The sequence below is a fragment of the Homo sapiens genome, chromosome X, assembly GCF_000001405.40.
Source record: "Homo sapiens chromosome X, GRCh38.p14 Primary Assembly".
Classification (NCBI taxonomy): Eukaryota; Metazoa; Chordata; class Mammalia; order Primates; family Hominidae; genus Homo; species Homo sapiens.
The window spans coordinates 72,637,565-72,664,625 of record NC_000023.11 but is presented as its reverse complement, the minus strand read 5'-3'; the positions used below and the strand labels follow the sequence as shown (position 1 = coordinate 72,664,625).

At 38.4% G+C, this 27,061-nt stretch overlaps 1 protein-coding gene and 1 pseudogene across 8 annotated transcripts in view; one reads left to right on the top strand and one right to left on the bottom strand.

The window, feature by feature from the left end:
* Nucleotides 1-27,061, top strand: part of PHKA1 (phosphorylase kinase regulatory subunit alpha 1) — a 135,493-nt gene that overhangs the window by 49,681 nt on the left and 58,751 nt on the right. For all 8 annotated transcript variants that reach the window (NM_001440788.1, NM_001440787.1, XM_047442160.1 and 5 more), the window contains 6 exons: nucleotides 6,985-7,038; nucleotides 8,384-8,506; nucleotides 11,096-11,191; nucleotides 11,975-12,082; nucleotides 14,158-14,236; nucleotides 20,130-20,264. In NM_001440788.1, the coding sequence (NP_001427717.1) occupies nucleotides 6,985-7,038; nucleotides 8,384-8,506; nucleotides 11,096-11,191; nucleotides 11,975-12,082; nucleotides 14,158-14,236; nucleotides 20,130-20,264 (595 nt within the window). The remainder of the gene's footprint in view (nucleotides 1-6,984; nucleotides 7,039-8,383; nucleotides 8,507-11,095; nucleotides 11,192-11,974; nucleotides 12,083-14,157; nucleotides 14,237-20,129; nucleotides 20,265-27,061) is intronic.
* Nucleotides 2,889-4,169, bottom strand: MATR3P1 (MATR3 pseudogene 1; annotated as a pseudogene).

Below are 27,061 nucleotides of genomic sequence, written 5' to 3'. Positions count from 1 at the left end.
ATTTTCTGTACCTGTTGGATGAAATGCCCTGTAAATGTCTGTTAGGTCCATTTGGTCTATAATGTAGTTTAAATCTGGTATTTCTTTGTTGATTTTCTGTATAAATGATCTATCTAATGCTAAGAGTAGAATGTTGAAGTCTCCCACTATTATTGTACTGGAGTCTAACTCTCCTTTTAGATCTAATAATATTTGGTTTATATATCTGAATGCTGCAATGTTAGGTGCATATATATTTACAATTATTATAACCTCTTGCTGAATTGATGCTTTTATTATTATATAATGACCTTCTTTGTCTCTTTTTACTTTCAACTTAAAGCCTATTTTATCTGATATAAGTATAGCTACTCCTGCTTGCTTTTGGTTTGTATTTGCATGGAACATCTTTTTCCATTCCTTCCAGTTTAGTCTATGTGTGTCTTTACAGGTGAAGTGACTTTCTTGTAGGTATCATGTGAGTCTTGTTATCCATTCAGCCAATCTACATCTAAATTGAGAAATTTAATCTATTTACATTCAAGGTTATTATTGATAAATGAGGACTTTCTCCTGTTATTTTGTTAATTGTTTTCTGGTTGTTTTGTATATCCTTTGTTCCTTTCTTCCTCTCTTATTGTTTATCTTTACAGTTTGGTGGTTTTCTGTAGTGATAAGGCTTGATTCCTTTCTCTTTCTCTTTCTCTTTCTCTTTCTCCTTTCTGTATGTGCCCTTTCTGTATGTGCTCCTTTCTGTATGTACTAGTGAGTTTTATACTTTTGCATGTTTTCATGATGATAGTTATCATATGTTCACTTCCAGTTGTAGAACTCCCTTAGGCATTTCTTGTAAGGCTGGTCTAATTCTGGGTATAGTGTTCTTGCCTGACAGGTTTTTTTTTTTTTTTTTCAGCTCTTAGAATATATCATCTCATTCTCTTCCAGCCTGTGAGATTACTATTGAGAAATCTGTTGCTAGTCTAATGAAGATTCCCTTATATGTAACTTTATGCTTTTCTCTTGCTGTTTTTAAAATTTTCTCTTTGTCTTTGACTTTTGACATTTTGACTATAATGCACCTTTGAGAGAACATTTTTTGGTTTGAATCTATTTGGGAACTTTGAGTTTCCTGGATCTGGATATCCATATTTTTCCCAAGAATTGGGAATTTTTCAGCTATTATTTCATCAGATAGGTTTTCTGCACATTTTCCCATCTCTTGTCTTTCTAAAACTTCCATAATGTGATTATTTGTTTGCTTTATGGTGTTCTGCAAGTCCTATAGGCTTGTTTCATTCTTTTTTATTCGTTTTTTTTTTGTATGCCTGGTTTATTTCAAAAGATCTGCCTCCAAGTTCAGAAATTCTTCTGCTTGATCTCATCTGTTGAAGCTCTTGATTGTGTTTTTTATTTCATTAATTGAATTCTTCTGCGTTAAAGTTTGTTTTTTAAATAATATCTGTTGAATTTCTCATCAGATCATGAATTGTTTTCCTGATTTTATTATCTATCTTTATTCTTTTATATCTTGCTGGGTTTCCTTAAGATCATAATTTTGAGTTTCTTTTATAACATTTCATAAATTTCCTTTTCTTTGAGGTCTGTTACTAGATAATTATTACGTCCCTTTGGATGTGTCATGTTTCCTTGCCTTTTCATGTTTCTTGTGTCCCTGAATTGATATATGCACATCTGGTGGAGCAGGTACCTCTTCCAATTTATGGAGCAGCTTTGATAGGGAAAGACTTTCCTGGAGATGGGTCCTAAGGTGTTGGTTTAGGTAGGATACACTGGCTTTGGTTCTAGGTGGACACAGTTATTATAGTCTCTGTGCAGTTTCTTGAGCTGTAATCCACATAATAGATGTTTGTGAGTACCTCAATGGCCTAGGCTGCAGGAGTTGTGAGTGTGGTGGGTAGCTTTGCTAGGGGTGGGCTCCTGAACAGACTGATTTCCGGGCCTGGGGTGTAGACATGCATGAGGAGAAGGGCTGCCAGACTGTTTTTCTAGCCAAGGTCATAGGCACATGGCAGGTCAGCTGGTTCAGAGACTGGTTTGCCAACCAGGGGCAGGGCTGCTGGGCTATTTCTGTGCCTGGGGGCGTGGGACTTGGGAACTGGCTTGCCAGGGGTGGAGCCACTGGGCTGTTTCTCTGCCCAGGGACATGGGTCCATCAGGCTGTTTCTCCGTCAGGCTGGTCCAGGGTTGGCTTTCTACTATGCAGGACCAGAGTCATGGCCATTCCTGGGGCCAGGCTTCGAGCAGCTGAGGTCATGGCACTGCAGCCACCTGTGTGGGGTTGGTGAAATGATGGCAAAGAGTCAAGGTTGGAGAGGTACAATGGCTACTGGCCCCCAGAGTAGGGGGGCCAACTACTGCACTCCTGCAGTAGCTCCAGTTTCAAGATGGCACTGTACTGCAGCAGCTTTGGTCATGAGAAATAGGAAGTGCACAACATGTACTTGTACTCTGGAGTAATATAGTTGTGTGAATTCTAGGCAGCTCCCCAAACTGGGCTCAGCACTTGGGAGGACTGTAGGATTCTCCTATAGTAAGGACTGCAGGTGTCTGGGCTGGCAATGAGGGACGGTGGGAGCCTTTTGCTTACCTTTTCCCTGCAAGGGGAAGTCCCTCCTGTCTCTGAGCCAATCCCAATAGGGGAGATGGGGCAGCAGAGCCAGGGTGCCTCGCTCTCCTCTCTATGCTGCCATCCTGGGCTTTTCTACTTCACAGGGTTCTTGCTGCCAGTCACTTGCTACACCACAGTGCTCTCCCTCAGACACTCCACTTGAATTTTAGTTGTTTATTAGTTGTTTTGGTCCTTTTTTGTGGGGAAGACAAGCACCAGGCACCTCTAGTCAGCCATCGTGCTCTATGTTGATTCTTTTTTTTTTTTTTTTTTTGTCAGTACATTCCAAACATGTGTAACCAATGAACATGGCCTAGGGTTTTTTTTTTGTTTTTTTTTAATTGGTATTCACTTCAGTAACTTCAATCCACAGATACAAGCAGTATATAACCAGAAAGTTACAAGTAAACACAGATTATACATGCACATTTCTGTTCACAAAGGTCACATGTGCAGGTACATGAATTAGAAGCGTGCATCTAGGATTATGGCCAAACTGTTTTTAAGATGCAGAAATATAAAATTACATCTTGAAAATATGAAGAGGTGGTCTACACACTTCAAAAATCAAATGTTGCTTACACCAGAGATGTATGACGATTACAGGATTCAAGTGACAAGCAATAAGATCTCAAAAATTAGTACTGGTCAAAGAGAATGGGAATATTTTTACGTTTCACTGAAAATATTGACTACTAGAATATAAAATCTAGCAGGAACTCAGGGAAAAAAATACAAAACCTAAAGCCAATTACTTAATATTTCTTATTACCTAAACAACAGCATGACATTTACAGAAAACTGCACCTGCATTTGAATTGCCAATCTCATTTTAATGAAGTTCTCCAAAAATGAAATGCAACCAAAAAAGGGTCAAACTCCAAATGAAAAGTTTGCAAGGCTCAGATTAAAACATGGAATGTTTCAGATGAAAGTAATAAAAATACTATTGGTTTTGTTCTTTATTAAATGGAATCAAATACTGACATTTCTTTGAAGCTTGGAACTGCTAAATTTCATTTTCCCAAATGGTTCTGCATTTTTTTCTTAGTGGTGCAAGTTGTCTTAAGTAGCTTACGAAGTCAATCTCTACAAATTACTTCTATAAAACAACTATTCATTAATCGTATGTATTTTTTTGCTATAACACTTAACACATGAACAGACATTATTTCTCCACCAAAACAAAAGAGTACAATAGTTTTCTTCTGTCAGTATTGTATTTAAAAAAGTTTAACATTAAACACAAAGAACCATTATTTTCTTTGAAACCCTTAAATCTTCTTGCACATCTTAAGTTGCCTTCTTCTGTCTGCATTCTTCTGCCAATTTATTCAGAAATTTATTTAATTTCTCATAATGAGGAAGGCTGCTGCAATGAGTATTCTTTGCAACTTCTTTTGTATAAAAGAGTGAACATAGCTTACCATAAAGCCCTGTTTTAGGTATTACATAGTCTATACCAACAGGAACATTGGGCTGTTATGGTCCAATTCTATACTCATCTGGGATTGTATAGTCCTCCTTGTTCTCATCACTTTGGCCATCTGCATTTTCACTTATGTTGATTCTTAGATGCATTTTACTAAGTGAAAAAAAGCCAAACCTCAAAGACTACATACTACATGATTCCATTTACATGACACTCTGGAAAAGGCAAAACTATAGGGAGGAAAACAGATCAGTAGTTGCCAGAAGTTGGGAGGACAGATTGTCTATAAAGATACAGCACTAGAGAATTTTGAGGGTGATGGAATGGTTCTCTATGGACTTATGCTGGTGGACACATGACTATATGTTTGTCAAAAGCTAAGGAATTGTATGCCACAAGAAGTAAATTTAAAGAATCAACCAGGGTGTGTCAAGAAAGATGGAATTCAGACTGAAAAATGAGTCTAATTACATTACAAATGAATCAAGTAACCACACTAAAAGGTATGGAAAAGAAAGGAGCTGACCTAAGTCTTGGAAAACAGTGTTTTGACTAGATACTGCAAGCCTAACCTAAAGACAAAAATAACTGTATACACACACTGTACTCTAGTTCAGGGGTTAGCAAATTACAGCCTGTGGGCTGGCCATCTGTTGTTATAAATAGAGTTTTATTGGAACACAACCATGGTGTATTTACATATTGTCCATGGCTGCTTTCAAGGTACAACAGCAGATCTGAGTAATTGCAACAGATGCTGTATGGTCTGCACAATCTAAAATATTCACTACCTGGTCCTCTATGAAAAAGTTTGCCAACCCCTGCTCTAGTTGATAAATTTGTTTCTCAAAGGGGTACTGGTTGGCAATTCTGAAACTACTTTATCTGTACAGTAAGGTTGACCAAATAAGTAAATATGTAGTAGATATAGTGGGTAATGAGACCTAGGTTTCTCACTGTTACACATAGGGAATGGGAAAAGCCTAGAATGAACCTTGTGATGTTGGATTGGAGAAGGTAGTATCAGTATGAAGTGTGTATGTGTGTGTGTCTGTGTGTCTGTGTGTGTTTAATATAGGGATGTGTGTCTTCCTATATGTGTTTCCTAACTTTGTCCACTGAGAGGGCCCAGAGGCAATGAGTACACCTAGTGTCCAAATGTTGGTTTCTAAATGTCATTCTCAATGAAAGGACTTAGGGCTCCTTGGAGAAGTGGTTGATTTGACTGGGGCAGGGAGGATACAAGGGGAGCCTGGAGTTTCATATGGTTCTAGAAAATAAAGAGGTACTCAGAAAAGTATGGAACATGTCAAAGGAACACAGGAACCATCTGAAAAGTGCTTCTAATGGCCAAAGCAGAAAAAATTTGAACAATAAAATAACTATCATAGTATTGGATTATAACCCAGAGAATAAATGAAATGTCCATAAGTCCATACTGATATAAATAAATAACTGAAAAATGAATAAATAGGAAAGAAGACAGATCTCCCTAATAGGAGAATGTCAATTAATAAATGCTAAAGGAATAAAGGAAATACAAAATTGCCATTAGACAAACACAAGAATAACAATTATTTCAGGAGAAATCTACTGATGGATGCTAAAACCAGTAGACAAAAGCTTAAGCATAACGAAGGTGTTCGAATAGTCTCACAGTATCTCCCCCAAAATATTTAATAGTTACAAATGGAAAATTACAGTGGAGAAATTCAGCAGACACCACTTTAACCAAGTGATCAGGGTTAACATCACCAGTAATAGGACACATTGACATCATGTACTCTCTCATACAATGCACTGAGAAGGGCACATCACTTCTGTGGTATCCTTCCCAATATGCATAACCGTACTCTGATCATGAGAAAACATCAAACAAAACCAAATCGAGGGGCATTCTACAAAATAACTGATGAACACTCTTCAGAAGTGTCAAGGTCATTAAAAACAAGGAAGGACTGAGGAACTGTCATAGATTGGAGGACACTAAGGAGACATGATGACTGAATGCAATATGGGATCCTGAATTGGGTCCTAGAACAGAAAAAAGGACAACTGATGAAATCCAAATAAGTTATGGGCTTTGGTTAATAGTATCGTACCAAAGTTTTTTTTTTTTTTTTTTTTGAAACAAAGTCTCACTTTGTCACCCAGGCTGGAGTGCAGTGGCAGGATCTCGGCTCACTGCAACCTGTGTCTCCCAGGTTCAAGCGATTCTCCCACCTCAGCCTCTTGAATAACTGGGACTACGGTCACGTGCCACCACGCCTGGCTAATTTTTGTATTTTTTTGTAAAGACAAGGTTTCACCACATTGGCCAGGCTGGTCTCGAACTCCTGACCTCAGGTGCCTCCCGCCTCAGCCTCCCAAAGTGCTGGGGTTACAGGCATGAGCCACTACACCCAGCCACCAAGGTTAATTTTTTAGTTTTGGCAGATTTCTATGGTTATATAAGATGTGACTATAACGGAATGGTGGTTGACAGGAATACTGGGATTCTCTGTACTGTTTTTGCAACTCTTCTGTAAATCTAAAATTATCTCAAAATGTAAAAAATATGTGTTTTTTTAAAAAGCTTATGGAGTCTTATGACTTATGAGCTGTATGTGTCTTATGAACAGGACCACATAGATTAGTAATTATGCTGTCAGACTTACCCTAGGTGGATAGCCATGGAGAGGATACTGTTAGGAACACTGCTTTAGTGAAGAGCCTGTCACTTTGCCTTCACTTGAAATCACATTGCTGAAATCTGTTTCTGCTGCTGGATTGATTTTTTGGTTTTAAGCATTATTATATTATTATAGGTTTTTTGGTTTTAAGCATTATGCCTTTATCGGTGATAGGTTGGTGGTACATATAGATGTTGCAAGGATGTATTTCTGATTAATTACATGGCCGTACCAGTGTACAAGCTGCTGACCTTTTTTCTTTGTATTCCCAGGGTCGTTATGGTTGCTGTCGCTTTCTACGAGATGGATATAAAACTCCTAAAGAGGTAGGTTTCTTTTCTCCAAAATGAATCCAAGGTAGAATGGCCACTTCTACCTGCAGCCTCATTCAGAGAAAATATTTACCTCACTGATGGTACTTATAGAGATCACTAAGTAGGATAATGATAACTGATGTTTGCTATATTTGTTGAACTTGGCTTAGCTGCCAAGTTCTCAGTTTGTAGGCCTTTCTGGATTAAGTAAAATAGAGGAAGGTGTAGTCCTTCCACCTCTTGCATTGGTTAGTTTCGGGAAAGAACTACAGATACATGGTAAAATCAGTGGATGAAAGCTTATACAGAAATAGTATTTGCATTGTCTCAAAGTATCTCTCCCAAAATATTTAACAATTACAAAGGGAAAAATCTTTCCATCAGTAGATCTTTCTGGCCCCACATTCCACCTCTTGTAGTTGGTTAGTTCTAAACAGTACTTGATTTTGAAAAGTTTACGTTCCCTTTATTCAACTAGTCAAAAGTTCACCTTGGAAATATCAATGAGAAAAATTCAGTATCATTAAAGGGATTGAACAGTCAATATGAAGCACTTTCACTGGTAATGGAAACATTGTTTAAAGCTTAGATTTGATGTTTGAGAGACATTATGGATTTTTTTAAATCATCGAGCTCAAACTCTTCTGGTCTACTTCCTCTTCCACTTTATTTTTTAGCCTTGAATTTGACTTCTTCCCCTATCAGTGTACTAAAATTATATGTTCTGAAACATCATCATAAGCTCTTAAATGACCAATCCAATAGCCTTTTCTGAATCCTTATTCTCCTTGACTTCTCTATGGTACCTCACTTTTTACCTAGCCCTAAATTCTCTTGAAATTCTTTTCCTATTTTAATTTTCCCACTAGATTATCCTGATTCTTCTCTTTCTGTTATTCCCTTGCCCCACTCTGAGGGTTTACCAAGATTCCATTCTTGAGCAGTTTGCTCATTTCATTTAGTGCTATTTCACAAAGCTCATCTGTAACTTGTACTTCATATGTCACCTCTAGGAAAATGATTCCCAAACCCTCATCTCTAGTTGCCCTTCTAAACATTTCTACTTGTATGTCCTATTATTACAAAAAACTTAACAAATATAAAACCAAACTGAACTTTATTGCAAACCAATCTTATTTCTTCATACACCCTCTTGTGATATCATTGCTATCCCAATTCCGCTAGTTAGAAGTCGCATCATAGAGTACTTGCTAAGGGAAGGGAGTATGTACATGCTCTGCTTCCTGAACACCTTCTCTAAAACAATCAGTAATGAAAACCCGTATTATAATACCTCTGAGCTAAAGATATACATCTAACCTCTGAGTGATGACAGACTTTATTGTGTTTTTACTAGGATCCCAATCGTCTGTACTATGAACCAGCTGAGCTGAAGCTATTTGAAAACATTGAGTGTGAATGGCCATTGTTCTGGACATACTTTATTCTTGATGGGGTCTTCAGTGGCAATGCAGAACAGGTAATAAGCTGGGGAAAGAGTTTTCAGCAGAATGTTTTTGTTATATCTTCTTACAGCTAATAGTATACCAACCCTGTGTCCAGTTGGAAGTCTTCCTAATAGGGGAGAGACAGTTGTTCCCTACAGGCTACTAGTTGAGGGCACTAAGAGTAAAAAGACCTGGATTATTTTTTTCTTCTTTTTAAAAAAATTTTGGTTTCGGCCGCGTGTGGTGGCTCACGCCTGTAATCCCAGCACTTTGGGAGGCCGAGGCGGGCGGATCACGAGGTCAGGAGATCAAGACCATCCTGGCTAACAGTGAAACCCCGTCTCTACTAAAAATACAAAAAATTAGCTGGGCGTGGTGGCAGGCGCCTGTAGTCCCAGCTACTCGGGAGGCTGAGGCAGGAGAATGGCGTGAACCTGGGAGGCGGAGCCTGCAGTGAGCCAAGATCGCGCCACTGCACTCCAGCCTGGGCGACAGAGCGAGACTCCGTCTCAAAAAAAAAAAAAATTTTTGGTTTCACTCCTGACCATTGAGTGCCCAACTATTATCATTGACTTCTTCAGTTTCTCTATACATAATGAAAATAGTTTTTCCCCATTCATTAAAGAATATATTCCTAAAAGTATTTGAATTTCACAGATAAAGACATATTGTAAATGCAACGTACAGTCAGTTCTGCTATAATGATACGTATGCAATCTTTTTTTGTTGTCATTTTTAAGACAGGGTCTCTCACTCTGTTGCCCAGACTGTAGTGCAGTGGCGTGATCATGGCTCACTGCAGCTTCGATCTCCTGGGCTCAAGCAGTCCTCCCACCTCAGCCCCCTGAGTCACTGGGACTATAGGCATATGCCACCACATTCAGCTATTTTTGTTTGTTTGTTTTTTGTAGAGACGGGCCTCGCTGTGTTGCCCAGGCTGGTCTCAAACTCCTGGGCTCAAGCTATCCCTCCTGCCTCAGCCTCTCAAAGTGCTGGGATTACAGGCATGAGCCACCACACCCAGGCCATATGCATTCTTTAAAAATCACCATGCTGGCCGGGCGCGGTGGCTCACGCCTGTAATCCCAGCACTTTGGGAGGCCGAGGCGGGCGGATCACGAGGTCAGGAGATCGAGACCATCCCGGCTAAAACGGTGAAACCCCGTCTCTACTAAAAATACAAAAAATTAGCCGGGCGTAGTGGCGGGCGCCTGTAGTCCCAGCTACTTGGGAGGCTGAGGCAGGAGAATGGCGTGAACCCGGGAGGCGGAGCTTGCAGTGAGCCGAGATTGCGCCACTGCACTCCAGCCTGGGCGACAGAGCGAGACTCCGTCTCAAAAAAAAAAAAAAAAAATCACCATGCTATGCATATTTAAGAAATAAAAACTACAGGGCTTATGAGAAAATGGGGTAAGGAGTGCAGCACATAAAATGTAACACATACAAAATGATAGGAACCTAATAAAAATAATAGTATCATGGCTTTATACATGGTAAATAGTTAAGAAATACATAAATACCACAATAGTTACCGTACTTTCACCTTAAAAAAGACCCAAAGTTTGCTTGTGCAAGTGTGTACCCAAGTTCTCACCAGCTCACCCACCTGGCTCTCATGCCCACTACATAATGTGCAAGAGGAAGAGAACAAAAGAGGGATTAAAAAGAGTGAGAGAAAACAGAGAAAAAGAGCATAAAACAGAGAGGAAAATTTTTTTAAAAGGCTGAGAGGAAAGAGGTAGAAAACTGAAGAGAGGGCAAGGCATGTGGTTGCATATCCAGGGTGGCCATCAGAGGATTGCAGCTTGTAAGTTCAGTAGTGGTGAAAGGAGTGTTATCTGAAATTGGACAGAAAGTAGTAAAAACAGATGTGAATAGGTACAGTTCATCATTCTCCTGAGATATATGCATGTGTGTTTTGTGTATTCTTACATGGCCCAGTTCAGCTGAGTACATTCTCAGTATGAAATTGTGCATAACCAAACATGAAATTCATGTTATACTCAAATTTTTCCCTAATATATCAGAAGCATTGGAACAAATTTGTTTACAAAGAAAGTGTTATAGCAGAACTATTTTTTTTTTTCATCATAAATTACAGTTTTGGGTTTTGTTTTTTTTTTTACATTTTATATATTGCTAAGCTTTAGCAAATGGTTAAGCACAGAACATAAACTTGACCATAATAGAACCTAATTTGGCAGGTAGAAATGCAGTTTTAAGACAATACATCCTCAAATCTAGAAGCTATACTTAAGATATACATAGTGGAACAAGACAGGCCTTTGGAAGCAGACTGCCATGGCTACACCCTGGACTCAACTGTGTACTTGCTCTGATCTTCCACAAATTTACAACCTCTTTGAGATAATTTCCCTGTAAAAAGGCCTTAATTACACATAGCTCCTAGGATAGTTTTTAAAGTTAAATGCATTAAAGTATGCAAAACTCCTAGCATAATATTTGGCCTATAACAAGCATTTAGTAAATACCCTTTCCTTTCTATTTTACTGGGTGAATAAGCTCCTTTGCAATAGGACCTTCTTTGGCTGCAACCTTCTCCTGGGTCCCCAAAGGGACTCTCTGTAAGTCTTTTTTTCCTGCCTTTCTTTTATCTGCAGGTTCAAGAATATAAAGAGGCTCTTGAAGCAGTCCTCATCAAGGGCAAAAATGGAGTCCCACTTCTGCCAGAGCTGTACAGTGTTCCTCCTGACAGGGTGAGTCAGACAGTGCCATAACATGTAGCTGATAGAGAAGAGGAGCAGTACCTTGATCAGACTACCTCATTTGAGTCAAATAATTTTTAATCTTATTTTGTTGTTCTGAAAGCTTGTCTTTAGGTACAGGACAACATAAGTATGATTTTATTTCTTCAAAAATAAAATTTTAAAGCAGTCTCAATGATGGTACTGTTGCACAGTCAGACAAGGACAAGACCAAACCTTAATCTTGAGAATGATGTAGAGATCACTAGGAAAAACTAGGATGATGTTCTGTGTGGACTCTCAAGATTTGGTATTCTCTATTTTTAGGCCAGTAATCCCGGATTGTTTTAATAGATCAGTCTTGGAAAATGAATATGTCTTGTTTTCAGACTGTCATTTTCCCAAAATGCCAGTCGGGTGTAACATTGTTCCTCTTCTCCACTGCAAAAGAGCATTAGACATGGAAGAGAATAGTCTTCCATTCCGGTGAGAATGAGTAGAATAAGCTCCCAGCAACATCAGCAGCACCACCTGAGAGCTTGTTAGAAATAGATTTCAGGCCCTACCTCATACCCACTCAATCAGAATCTGCATTTTAACAAGATCCTCAGGTGATCTGTATGCACATCACAGTTGGGGAGCACTGCCCTAGATTATAGTGATAGTGCTTCACTTTTCAGTGCATTGCATATGTAGCTACATAGGGTATAAATTACAATCCAGTCCACCTTTTTATTATCCAGTATCTTAAACCTTCTATTATTCCTCATCTGGCCTCTTCATCTTTTCTTTTAGGTCGATGAAGAATATCAGAATCCTCACACTGTGGACCGAGTCCCCATGGGGAAATTGCCTCACATGTGGGGTCAGTCTCTATACATTTTAGGAAGCTTGATGGCAGAGGTAAGAGGAATCTTCAAGGCTGTCCCACTTTTTTCTGCCTTAAGTCACCATAATAATCAGATTTTTAAGTAGCTCATTAAATCTGAAGGATGTCTTCTGCCTTTTGCACTTTGCCTTAATTATAGTTTTCCTCCAGGTCTTCAGAGTAGGGAGCATGGCCAACCCTCACAAAAAGCTCTTGCTGCCTGGCAACCATGTCCCTCCTGCTGCCCGGGGCTCCCTACTTTGGCACTGTATTTGGAACTGCTCAGGCCCCAGATCTATCCCTTTCAAAACTTCCCTCAGTGCCCTGCCTGGTGACTAACAGATGCATTTGTGCTTAGCTAGTTAATTACTGATAATGGATTAAGTGCTAATGCTTCCAAGCAACATGTTTCATTCTTTAACTAAATTAACTGATATTTTTAGGTGCCATGATAAGTGACTAGGAACATCATGACTTTTTTTTTCTTTGCTTGGGTTTTTATGTTTGTTTGTATTTTGTTAAGGGTCTCTCTAAATGTTCCTTATATCAGATTCTGTTGAGATTGCCCTTAATGAGGCATTTGGGAGTTTCTGACTTTGTGTCCACCTTCTTTGTGACATTTTGAGCCTGCACAGAGGCATTCTGTTTCTCAGAAGTTTTTCATATCATCTGGCAAGTCTACTTCCCCACTCTATGTTATTTTGATAAGATATAACCCAGGCTCCTAGAGGATCAAGAGTGGGACTTAACTATCCTATCTGAGTCAGACTCTTTGACCTGTTTATGTATAACCACTGATTTTTGCAGCTGTTTTGTTCATTTTCCTTGTGTGGCTGTGGCCATGGCTGTTTGATTACTCTTAGTCGACATTACTAAATGAGTCTAGCAAAAGTGGGCAGAATGGTTTGTTTAAGTAATCCTTACCTGGTGACTCTCTCATTCAATTAAAATAAAGTAAAGGCATTGATAAAAAGAATACCACAGTGATTGGTATTCTTTTTTTTTCTTTTTTTAAAATTTATTTTATTTTATTTTACTTTTTGAGACAGAGTTTCACTCTTGTTGCCCAGGCTGGAGTGCAATGGCACGATCTCGGCTCACCACAACCTCCGCCTCCCGGGTTCAAATGATTCTCCTGCCTTGGCCTCCCAAGTAGCTAGGATTACAGGCACGCACCACCATGCCTGGCTAATTTTGTATTTTTAGTAGAGATGGGGTTTCTCCATGTTGGTCAGGCTGGTCTCGAAAGCCCAACCTCAGGTGATCCGCCCTCCTCAGCCTCCCAAAGTGCTGGGATTACAGGCGTGAGCCACTGCGCCCGGCCAGTGATTTGTATTCTTAAGGAAAAAATAGGTGAGTTCATCCCATTTCATAAAGGGCAGAAACTCAAGTCAAAAGATTTCTGATGTGCAGAAGGCATAGTAGATACATGAACAAATGAGAATACAGCAGGACTAATGGCTTAAATTACTGATAAGCTGTGTGATCTAATCATCTAATCATATGTATATCCAGAGAAGATAGAGGAATAACCAGAAAACTTTGTTTATTTATAATTTATACCCAGCTGGGTGCAGTGGCTCATGCTTATAATCCCACCACTTTGGGAGGCCAAAGCGGGAGGATTGCTTGAGTCCAGGAGACCAGCCTGGGCAACATAAGTGAGACCTTGTCTCCATGAATAAACTAATTAGCCAGGCGTGGTGGCACACGCCTGTGGTCCTAGCTACTTGGGAGGCTGAGGTGGGAGGATCACTTGAGCCCAGGAGGTTGAAGCTGCAGTGAGCCATGATTGCACCACTGCACTCCAGCCTGGGTGACAGAGAAAGACCCTGTCTCAAAAAAAGAAAACAAATTATACCCTACATATTTATACCCTACCTAAAAAAGCATTTGTGGCAGCCAATAGCAATTAACTCTGGATAAAAGGAATTGTGGTGTGAATTTGGGAATTCAAACATTTTCATACAGTGAAGGCATTTGTTTCCTTTCTACACCTGTCTCTTGAATGTTATGGTGCAAGGTTATGGGCATAGGGATGTTGTTTTCCCTCAAGTATTAGTTTCTCTTTTGAGACTTAATAATCTGTCTTTTTATGGTTTTTCTTTAGGGATTTTTAGCCCCTGGAGAAATTGATCCCCTGAATCGCAGGTTTTCTACTGTACCGAAGCCCGATGTTGTGGTTCAAGGTATGTATTCTTATTCCCAGTGGAAGAAACTTTATATTAAAGGTCTGGTTATGGGCAGAGATCTTTAGGCTAGTAAATTATGACTTTATTCTATATGTTGCACTTTATTAGGCTTCAAAATGTATACAATGAACTTTGTTCGGTTTGGTTTCAAAATGCTGGTTATCTTAATAATAAACAAATGAATGATGTTCTATGTCAGATGACTCCAAAATATTATTTGACACCCTTAACCACTCCTTATATCTGGAAATTATTTTCTTTTCATTGTCATAACATTTTAGCCTCCTGGTTATCTCTGCTTTTTCTCTGACCACTCCTTCTGTGCTATTTCTACTGTACTTCTTTCTTTATATATCCTTCTAATGGTTCTGCGCTTAGTATTTTTTTTTTTTTTTGAGAGGGAGTCTCTTTCTGTCACCCAGGCTGGAGTGCAATGGGGCAATCTCGGCTCACTGCAACCTCCACCTCCTGGGTTCAAGCAATTCTCTTGCTTCAGCCTCCTGAGTATCTGGGATCACAGTCGCGCACCACCACGCCTAGCTAATTTTTGTATTTTTAGTAGAGACGGGGTTTCACCATGTTGGTCAGGCTGGTCTCGAACTCCTGACCTCGTGATCTGCCTGTCTCGGCCTCCCAAAGTACTGGGATTACAGGCGCGAGCCACTGCGCCCGGCTGCACTTAGTCTTATACTCTTGTCTTTCTGTATTTACACTCTGTATTAGGTAGCTAAGCCTGCCTCCTTCATAGTAAATTTGCTTCCATGGCCCCAACTATTACCTCTTTGGAGAATACTCCAAACTTTTGTTTTTATTCCTAACAATTTACTTAAATTTGGGGCATCTACTTTCTGCAGAACTCTAGGCTGAGTTCTATAAACATGTTAAGAATTCTAGTCCCAATATCTATAAAACTTCTGTGCCATTTACATTTCAAACACAAAACTGACCTCTTTTGTCTCCATCCCATCCTTTTCCTCTCCTAAGAAATGCAAATCGTTCTACCTTCCTTATTTCTCTCAATGATATCACCATTATTCTAGTCTCTTAGGGTAGAAGACTTGAGGTAAGTTTTTACTCTCTAACATCACAATCCAATGTGGTGTTGTGAAACTCCTTTGAGATGTCTCCAATCACTTGACTTTGGGGTTGGTTCTATATGGAAAATAATCTCGTGTGTTTTCTAAATTTTCTTATACTTGGCATCCCATGTGGTCATACAGGTAGTTCTTGCTTATCAATGTATATAGCAAACATTATATAAAAGTCATTACTCTTCCCTTCCCATGAGAGATCTTGTTCTCCTTTGAGGTTTATTCCACCTGTCTATGTTGATCTCCTGGTTGCTCTAATTCATTCTTTGAAGACTTTGAGGCCTGGCTACAGCCTTCCTCTTCCTCTCCAAATCCTGCCATAGAACTAGATTTTAGCATTGACGTCAGTGCAGTCTAACACTTCAGTCTCAAAGTTCTAGATATCCATAACTCTAGTGACCTTTCCTTCTACCTATACTTTTAGCCATTCACTCAAAGGACCAAACTTTAAGGCTCTTTCACTTCAGATACCTGAAATTCCAATATTCTACTCTGTGATCATAGTCATAACATTATTTCAAGTTTCTTTTTCTTCCCTTTACCCTTGTTTCTATTTTCCCCTAGTTTACCCTTCTCTACCTCATGGTTGTTCATCTAAATCTCCCAGTCACCAATGCACCATAATTTCTATTAGAACCACTCGAAAAATCACAGCCCCAGGTCAGTGTTACAGTCTGCATTTTCTGATCCTTTACCTGGCCTGCTAAAAAGCTATTGGGGAAAAAAAAAGACACAAATGAGCAGAGTGGTGGCACTGGAAATCGTGGTCTCCAACTCAGCTAGGTTTACAGTGCCTCCTGTTCATCCTTGTTCTTGTTAGTCAGCATTTTCATACTTCTCAACCACTATTCCACACCTTCTCTGTTTTCAATCCCCACCTCTTTTTTTCAGCCTAATTCTTGGCCTGCTGCTTCATGCCTGACAATATTCTGATCTTTGTCAGTGTCTCAGCCCTCCCCACCCCTACAGTCTTACCTATCCTTGCCTCATTTTCTGCAATCTCAGGAAAAGGGTTTCTTCTCCTATTCAAGGACAAGTCTTCCTTCTGATGTTTGATCATTATCTTCTTCCCCAGCATTCTCTAGAAACTTACTCTTTCCTGGAATCCTCAAACTCTCCCATTCTGTTGGTTCTATTTTGTTTAGTCTACTGACATGTTCATCTCCCTCTAGTTACACTATATAGCTTCTTTCTTTCTCATCCAAACTTCCACTTTTTTATCTTCCCTTTATTCTGCAGTATTTTGTAGTCTGGCTTACTACTATGAAAATGATCTTGCTTAAGTTACCAGTGACCTTTGTATTGCCAAATTTGGTAGGTACTTTTTAATCTGTATCTTACTGGAGTATTTAATCTGTATCCCATGTCTTCTATGATGCCATACTCTCTTGAATTTCCTTCAACCTAGATTAAGCACATTTCTTTCTCATTCTGGTCTTCCTCTTCTTCTTTGCCCCCTAACTATTAGTATTTATGAGAATTCTGTCCTTAGCCCACTGCTCTTGCTTATATAAATATTTCTTTCTGTTCCTCAGCCTCCTCCTATTCCAACCTTTTCCTTCTTCCCTTTTCCCTCTTTCCACCTTCTTACTTCTTCCCTCACTCTCAGAAGATGATCTCACCTCCTATACCATAGATGAAATACAAGCCATGATGTAAGAACTCCTCCACTTCACCCCCAGCTTTTCTTCATTTGCCCATGTCTTTTATGTTGGCATTTTCCAAGGTTATATTCTAAGTCCGCTTCTCCTTTTCTCTATGTATTCTCCTTGACCCATCTCATCTCTTTCTATGCTAATGACTCCTGAATCTGTATCAGCTTCCTTTAAGGTAGCCTCACTTGGGTGTCTCACTTGCCCTGTAAATTTATTCAACATGTCTAAAATTATTCAGCTATACCCTCCTAGTACTACATCACCCATACCTGCTTTTCCTCCTATATGCCTGTGTCATTAAATGACACACCATCCTCCCAGTTACACAAGTAAATACCTAGGGAATCCTCTCTCTCATCTCCTACATTCAACAGTTAACAAGTTCTGGCTGCTTTATTTCCTAAATAATTCTGAGATCCATCCAGTTTTCTCCAGTACCAATATCTTGATCCTAATGGAGGTAGTCAACATCTCTTCCTTGCATTACTGTAGTAACTTTTTTTTTTTTTTTGAGATGGAGTCACTCTGTCGCCTAGGCTGGAGTGCAGTGGCGCAATCTCAGCTCACTGCAACCTCTGCCTCCTGGGTTCAAGCAATTCTCCTGCCTCAGCCTCCGGAGTAGCTGGGATTACAGGCACGCACCTCCACACCTGGCTAATTTTTTTTATTTTTAGTAGAAATGAGGTTTCACCATGTTGGCCAGGCTGGTCTCGAACTCCTGACTTCAGGTGATCCACCCACCTCTGCCTCCCAAAGTGCTGTGATTACAGGTGTAAGCCACAGCGCCTGGCCCTGTAGTAACTTTTTAGCTGGTCTCTCTGTCTTACTACAGTCTATCAGTTTATTCTCTGTCAATCTGAATGTACTATTTTTAAGGTACAGGTATTAATATGGTATTCCTCTGATTATGCCTCTACAAGGGCTTCCCATTGGCAGTCTCCTTAATATGACTTACAAGACCCTTTAGATCTAGCCCCGACCCCATCTCCAGCTTCATTTTTTATCACTGCCCCTTTATGCTACATGTTCCTGTTATAAAGGGCTTTTTATAATTCCTAGCTCTGCCTTGTTTTCTGTTCCCTTGAGCCTTTGCCCATGCTATTTCTTCTGTCTGGAACAATTTCTTCCTTACCTTTACCATATCCTGTTGCAGGTTAACTTCTATTCAGGCCTCTAGGAGGACTCTATAGCCGTCTCATTTTTTCCATGTAGGGATCATGTCCTTAACATATGGCAGTGCCTAGCACATAAGAGGCACTAAATAAGAATTTTCTAAATATTTTATAAAACAAAAAAATGAGTTGCTTGGGTTGAAGGTACTCCTGGGGCCCCAGAGTATTGTTCACTTGACTGTCTTTCAGTCCCCTCTACTCTTACAACCAATTCCCATGAAGAATCCTAAGGCTCAGTAGAAAGCAGTTTGGAAAGCATGGCCCAAAGATGAAATACAAAATCCTTCAAGTGATGCATATGCCCTTCACGATGCTCTAACTCCTGTCTATCTTTCCAGATCCATTTCTTTTGCCACTATGCAAGGTATATTATGCTACAGCAATATTGAAGTGTATGTGGTTCTTCCCACCTCCCTCTATACATGCAGCCATGCTGTTTTTCATCTCTGTGCTTGATAAGTTCATTCTGGACTCTCTTCCTAGAAGGGCTATATCCTTCCTAATCCCTTGTTTCTCCTAGCTAACTTATTCATTATTTCAAACTCAGTTTAGGCATCAACACTTTGCAGAAGCCTTTCCTGATACTACTCCTCCCAACCCCACACTACCTAGGTGTCACTCCTGGATGGTCTCATAAAGTTTTGTGCACTTATCTCTATTTACCTAGCAGGTCATTTTACAATCCATGTGTATGCCACTTCGGTTACACTGTGAGCTCCTTGAGGGAAAGACTAATTTATCCATTTCTGTATCCCTAGTGACTAGCATAGCACCTCATCCATTGAGGTACTTAATAAATGTTTACTAATGAATGAATGAATTGCCAAATGTTTTTTCCTGGACTGTCCTCAGCCCCCTATCATTCTTCCTCTGCATATTTTTCCCTGAAGAATCTCTTTTATTTTCATGTTTTCAGTTAGAAGTAATCAAGATGGTGTTATGTCCAGGGGACTCTGTGATCAACATATCCTGCTATCCTGGCCCAGACAACAGCAGCCCATTAGCATGAGGTTCCCAAGATAGAAAAATACACAAAGGATAATGGCAAAGGAAGGCAAAGTAGCACTTTGTTAACTAAGCCTTTGCTTCAAAAACTCAATGTAGAAAATAATGGTAAGCCAAGCAGTGCATTCTTTTTCCTGTGAACAATCCATCACATCTACCAGCACTAGAGGAGCAGGAGTAGAGGGCACATTTGCCACAGTTGCTTAGTGTCAAGACAGCTAAAGCCTCAATTGGATTACTGGCCCCCAGCCAGGTGTCTGTTCCATATAGCGAAAGTGAAAAAAGAATCAGGAAGCTGGCCTAGCCTCCTCTCTTGTAGTTGGGCTTCCTACTTCAGTGACAGGAGTATAAGAGGAAGAAAAGAGAGCTGTCCAGGCTTGTCAGGCTCTGAATCTAGAGAAGTTTCATCCCCCATCTCTCCCCAGCACCCGCTACCTGCTGCCTAAAAAACACACAGTTTCAACTATAATACCTTCTATATGTTGATGACTCAAATTGTTATCCCCAATTCACCATGCCTTCTATCATTCTCTAGCTATAGGCAACTCTTGTCATTAGGGTGTTCTTTATTACCCCCACATACCTGGCTCTGACCTTAGGTTTACTGATACAAAAGAACTCGGGGAATCAGTTTTTACCAAAGCTATACCAAATCTCATGATGGATTTTTCTCCCATTTAAACATGGAATCTTAGATATAAAAAGAGTGTGGTATTCTCTAGGAGCACATAAGTATTTAGGCAAAAAGCAAAATCTAATGCTCTAGTCTTGAGATCTTTTCATTTTCCTTTTCCTTTTAGATAATATTATTTAGCATGATACTTATTTTATCAAAGTTCCTCAATAACTGTTCATTTCCTCCCATTTCCTTTTTTTCTCTTTAAAAGAAATTATATAACTTGAGAGATTGTTAAGTTGCTATTGAAATAAAATTTTCTGTTGACCTCATCTTCTTTGTCTCCTCTAGTCTCCATTCTAGCTGAAACAGAAGAAATCAAGACCATTTTGAAGGACAAGGGAATTTACGTGGAGACCATTGCTGAGGTATACCCCATCAGAGTACAACCAGCTCGTATTCTCAGCCACATTTATTCCAGCCTAGGTAAGGAGATTGGCTAGCCTGCTAGAATCAAAGCATTATTCATTATAGGCTGGTTTCCATCCTTTTTTCTTCTTCATGATTGTGTATTGCTTTATTAAGCTGGATCTGAGAAGGAATTTAGAGTCTCTAGAATCCAATTTTCTTACCTTCTCTATTCTGAGCAGGCCTGATAATTTTAGGTGTGTTTTATGAACCCTTTGGGTACATAAGGCATGACTATTATCAGCCAATATTGTATCTTTATTCCAAGTGTGTGCTTAAATAACATGTTCTCTCCTTTCTTGGAGCCTATACCTCTTTTTCAAATACTTGCTTATTTTATATGGAATGATAGCCAAGGAACTTGTTTTTAGGTCTTTTATACTTTGTCATTTAATGAACTAGTTGATAATATAAAAGATTCCTTAATATAATACTTATTTTTAATTAGTACTTATTTTTTTAATTAATTCACATATTAAACTTAGTGATAGATTTTTTGCATTAAACAAATTACTATATTGTTATCTAAAAGAAATTCTAAACTACTCTTGTGGAAGACTGAATAATGACTCCCCAAAGATATACAAGTCCTAATTCCTGGAACCTATAAACCTTAACTTATATGGCCAAATGGACTCATTTGAGATAGGGAGCTTATCCTGGATTACCCAGGTGGTCCCTAAATGTAATCACAAGTGTCCTTATAAAAGGAATCAGAGGAAGACCAGACTATAAAAGTAGGAGATGTGACAACAGAAGCAAGAGATTATAGTGATAAGGCTATGAGCCAAGGAATGCCCACATCATCTAGAAGCTGGAAGAGGCAAGGAATAGATTCTTCCCTGGAGCCTCCAGAAGGAATCAACCCTGCTGACACTTTGGTTTTGATTTTAGTCCCATAATGCTCATTTTGGACTCATGATGCCAAGAACTGTAGAAGTATAAATCTGTGTTGTTTTAAGCCACCAAGTTTGTGGTAATTTGTTATAGAACCAATAGAAAAGTAATACAATCTTAAACCACAAGGGAGTAGATTTGTAAAAGATTGGATCTTAGGTAGTGGATTGCCACTTACAAACCCAGAAGTTAGTTTGTATATGTGTGTGCGCGCGTGTGTGTGTGTGCGTGTATGTGTGTATGTGTACTTTTTTATCACCCAAGAATGGTATGTTAGTAATTACAGTTAAGGCAAGTATTCCCAGCTTAAAACCAGTCTCCTTCCCTTTTCTCTGGCACGTAACTCCAGTCACTTAATTTCTTTGTCTAAATTGAGAGGGAATCAACCAAGGAGGAAAGGACCAAGAGTCAGAGCTGACTTTTGTCTGTCTCTAGGAACATATATTTAATGCCAACAAGGCTTGAACTCCTTGCATTCCGGAGCTATTAACATGGCTTCTGGCTTTAGGAGTATATGGATTTCTTTCTTCCATCTTAGCTATGATGTAGGAATGTCCCTTTCCTAAAAATTCAAATATAACATGATTAGAATTTTCTAAAGAAACTTTGCTTTAAAAAGATAATGAAAAACTAAAATATATACACAAAGAAATTAACAAATTTGTTGAATATGTCTCAGATCCTAATAAATTTCTAAAATCTAGCCACAAATTAGCTTGAATATTATAAAATACTCCTGGTTCCCTCTATTTACTCAACCCTAACTGAGGTAAATACCAAGTCAAGGCTCCTGAAACTTCTGAGGCTGATTTGGGTGGATGCTTTGCTAGGTGGGTTACATACCTCACCCCTTCCCAGAACCTGCTTCCTGTTTTTATTTTTTTTGGCCATTCCCTGTCACCCCAGACCTATAATGCACTTCTAGTCTCCAGATACTAGTCCACTAGCACTAAATCCCTTGAGATAAGGAAGGTATTTCCCTATTTAGCCAACATCTTACCCACTTGAGTACTAGTTGATCTTACAGTCACCTTCTTTGTAACTCTTAGAAGTCTCTGCAGTAATGGGTTTATGCAAGTCCTGTTGGTGATTTTGACCTGATTCTCTCTGGCTCTCACTCAAAAGTTAATAGGTTAATTTTACCCATTGCCTCATTGCATCTATTATTCTAAATCGGCATATCTTACTGGGAAACAGGTAACTTCTAAGCTCTGGGCCATCATTTATGGAATCTGCCTGCCTCACATCAGGTCTCTCCAACAAATAGAAGCAATCTCCTTACTATTTACTTTTTCAAAACCTAGACTCCATCTTGGGCCTCTTACTAAGTTCTTATTTTCTAGCCAAAGGAAATAAAAACTTAATGATGATCAAACATTCCAAGGACTCAAGTGACAAGTGGACATTTATCTTCCTGATACGTTCTTTCATTTGCTTCATTCATTCATTGATAAGCATTTATTGCTCACTTATTATGTACCAGGCACTGGGCTAGATGCTATGGAAGACATAGCCATGCAACTAAATAATCACAGTACAATCTTATAAATGCTATGACCACGGTGTTACATATAAAACACAGAAGAAAGGGGATAGATTTGCCTGGGGAAGTCAGGAAAAGCGTGATAGATGAGGCAACATCTGATGACTTATCAGTCAGATGAGTGACTATTCAAAATTCTATTATTGCAACAGTTTCACAATAAAAAAATTGCCCTAAGGGTACGTCAAATGACAACCATAATTCCATGAAGGAAAAAGGGCTATTTCTTTAACAGGTGTATTTGTTTATATATGTTAACTAAACGGAGTTCTCTTTCTCCCCTCAAATGCTCAGTATTTCATTGTCAGTTCCAAAACATTTTTTTTATTTTTTTAAATTATGAGATTAATCAACTTTGTGAAAGTAAGAACTTAAAATATTAAGTTCAAATCTTTATGTAATGCTAATTCTTTTCTAATCTTAGTGCATATAGATACATTTTAATAGTTATCTTTAACATGCCTATATTCACTTGTGTTCTGTTTGTTTTCACTTATTCTCTCGTGATGCATTTCCACATATTGAAATAGCTATATAGTATTTCATCAAATCAAAGTAATTGTTTCCTGATTATTAGCTGAATATTTTCAAGAATTTTTATCCTTCTATAAATGCCTTTGTATAGACCACTGTTTTCTTAATTGTATATTCTCAGTAAAGGGATTCTGGATAAGCTTGTGAACAGCTTTTTAGCTCTTGTTACATGTTGCCAGATGATTATTTACAAAGACGAACTAATTCATAGTGACATAACTAAGATATAAAATATACCTTTCTTTTTTACTACCCCACTAACATTGGAGTTTTATTTATTTTTGTTAGATAAGTAGGTTTTAGTATGTATAAATTATTTTAATTTTCTATCTTTAATTCCCAGGGACCTGTACGTTTTTCTATTTTTGCTTTACCTCTTTTTTTGAAACTATGTGTCTACAATTGCTTGCTTATCTAATAGGGTCTGCACATTTCTGTATATATTTATCAATTATTTATATTTTATGGTAAGCTTTTATCAGTGAGACTTATATATATTTCCTAGTCTGTTACTTTCTTTTAGATAATTATTTTCTTGCCTGTGTACAAATCTTTAAATATTAGATACATCCATTTTATCAGATATATTTTTCAGTCCTTCAAGAATTATGAATTTATCTCCTAATTCTATCTGAATAGGTATGCTATTCTGGTTCTCTCCAAATTTCATAAGTTGTAAGTTATCTGATTACAAATTGGTATGTATGCATTGACTGCAGGGAACTGGAAAACAGACAAGCACAAAGGAAAAAGATAACAATCGCCTGTAATTCCACCACTCAGAGGAAGCCACCTTTTATTTTGGCATATTTGTTTCCAATCATTTTAAATAAAATAAGTACAAACATGTTTTTAGAAAAATGATATCATTAAGAATGGATTTTGCATTCTGTTTTTCTTGAAAAATAACAGTATATGATAAACTCTGTTACATTTTGGTAAGTAGCCACCTACAATCCAGTTTGATAGCTGTATTAACGTAATTTCTTCAAAAGTTATTTTCATAAATAGCCTTTTTCTGTTAATTTTGCAAATCGTCTCCTTATATTCTTTTGCCATTTTTCTACTGGATACTTGTTGATTTCTTACTGATTTCCATGAGGTATTTTTAAATATATTAGGGATACTGACACTTTCTCTTCCACATGTTATTGAAATATTTTGCTATTTTGTTATTTGCCCTTTAATTTTGTGCTGCTTTTCATGTATAGAAGTTTTATATTTTATGTAGTAAAATTTTCTCTTTTTTTGGATTCTTTCCTTGCTGTTACACTTAGAAAGATAGTCCCATCCCTAGGTCAAATACATTTTCACTGCATTTTCTTTGTTATTTATGGTTACAATTTTACATTTAAGTCTTAGGCTATAATATTAATTTTAGTTTATCCAATGAGGTAAAAATCTGACTTTTTGCCAAGTAACCAATCGTTCCAGCACTACTGATTGAATAGTTCATATATAGGTTGTTTTGAAGTTCCACCTTTATAATTTACTGTACATGCATATACTCACTCACATGTGTGGATACTTTTAATCTTACTTTTTGGTGCTGCTGATCACTGTTTCTTCTTTCCTAGTACTATATTTTTTAAGTTATCATAGTTTCAACCTCACCAATGATTGTGAAAATGTAAGATAAAAGAATAGTGCTATGTAATTTTTTGCCCATCAATTTTACAAAAAAAAGGTAAGATTGCCAATATCCAGTGCTGATGAATATGTGGAGATGTGGACACTCTCAGCACTCCTGGTAGTGTAAATTAGAGGCAGGTAGGCATTACCTATAAAAAAATGTAATGCACATGTCTTTGACCAACAACCTTACTTCTAGGAATCTACCCTTTTCTTTTTCTTTTTCTCCCCCCAAGATGGAGTCTTGCTCTTGTTGCCCAGGCTGGCTGGAGTGCAGTGGCGCGATCTCGGCTCACTGCAACCACCGCCTCCCAGGTTCAGCTGATTCTCCTGCCTCAGCCTTCCAAGTAGCTGGGATTACAGGTGCCTGCCACCATGCCTGGCTAATTTTTGTATTTTTAGTAGAGACGGGGTTTCACCATGTTGGCCAGGCTGGTCTCGAACTCCTGACCTTGTGATCTGCCCACCTTGGCCTCCTTCCCAAAGTGCTGGAATTACAGGCGTGAACCACTGCACCCAGCCCAGAATCTATCCTATATAACATTCGTACAAGTACACAAGGGCATATATTCAAGGATGTTCACTACATTATAATCTGTGGTGGCAAAACAACAATTAGAAGTACTATAATGTGTATAAACAAGAATGGTAGAATTATGTATATTGTATCATAGCTAAAAAGGTAGACTTTCAGCTTCCAGCTGTGATGAAATAGCTTGTATTGGGCTGTCATACTAACAATAACTGGAATGGCTGAATTTTAAAAATGAAGGTGAGTGAAGGCTTCAGAGAGTAATTACAACAGCCAGAACTTGAGAAACTAAAACCTTGGACAGAAGGGACACTCAAAGAATAAACTCACTATTCTCTGTGCAGTTTACCTTTGAGGCATTTGCTGATTCTTAAGTTTTGCTTGCATGAAGTAAGGGGCCAAGAAACTAAGCAGGAAGTCTCACTGTTCTACGGAGACAAAAATTGCATTTCAGGACCTTCCTATGTGGAAGGGGCTGTGATAAACACCTTGGGCTTTCAGTTGAAACCCCTAAAGAATGGACTACACCTTAGGAGTAAGGAAAAACCATAAATAGACGAGTTCTTAGAAAGCCTCAAATACAAATCCTAAAACACAATCTTCTTAATTCCTGATTGGGCTAAGAAGATCTGCTTATACTGTATCTGCCTACTAAAATAAACTGAATCTTCTCTGGAGGGAAATAATGTCATCCAGAGCCTCTACAATTCTTTATACACCGTATTCAGCATTGAAAAAAGAAGACATGACTTAGAAAACCATGACTTGTTATTAATTGGTAAATTAATAAAATTAATAAAAGACAAAAGAAAAAAATAAAACAGACACCCAGACTTCTATTCAACATAGCTTTTTTTTTTTTTTTTTTGAGAGAAGCTCTCACTGTGTTGCCCAGGCTGGTCACAAACTCTTGCGCTCAAGGGATCCTCCCACCTTAGTCTCTGGGACAACAGGCACACACCATCACAGTCGGCCATCATTGGAAGTTCTAGCCAGAGCAGTTAGACAAGAAAAAGATATAAAAGACATCCAAATTGGCAAAGAAAAATTAAAATGGTCTCCATTCACACATGACATGGTTTTATTTAAAAAACAAAAACAAAAACAAAAAAAACCTGTGAGAACTAATAAACAAATTCAGCAAACTTATAGGATACAGAATCAGCACACAAAAGTCAGTTACATTTTTATACACTAAAAATGAACAATTTGACAAGGAAATTAAGAAAACAGTTCCATTTATAATAGCATCAAAAAGAATAAAATACTTAAGAATAGGCTTAACCAAAGAGGTGAAAGACTTGTACACTGAAAATGGAAAAACATTGCTAAAAGAAATAGAGAGGAGACAAATAAATGGAAAGACATGCTGTCTTTGTGGGTTAGAAGACATAATATTGTTAAGATACCAGTACAACCCAAAGCTATCAACAGATTCTATGCAAGCCCTATCAAGAGCCCAAATGATGATTTCTGTAAAATAGAAAAATTGTTCTAAAATTTATATGGAATCTCAAGGGACCCTGAATAGCCAACATGAGGATGTGGAGACATGAAAACTCTTGTGTACTGTGGATGGGAATGTAAAATGTGTCAGCCCCTATGGAAAACAGTATGGCAGTCCCTCAAACAAATTAAACATAGAATTACTATATAATCCAGCAATTACACTTCTGA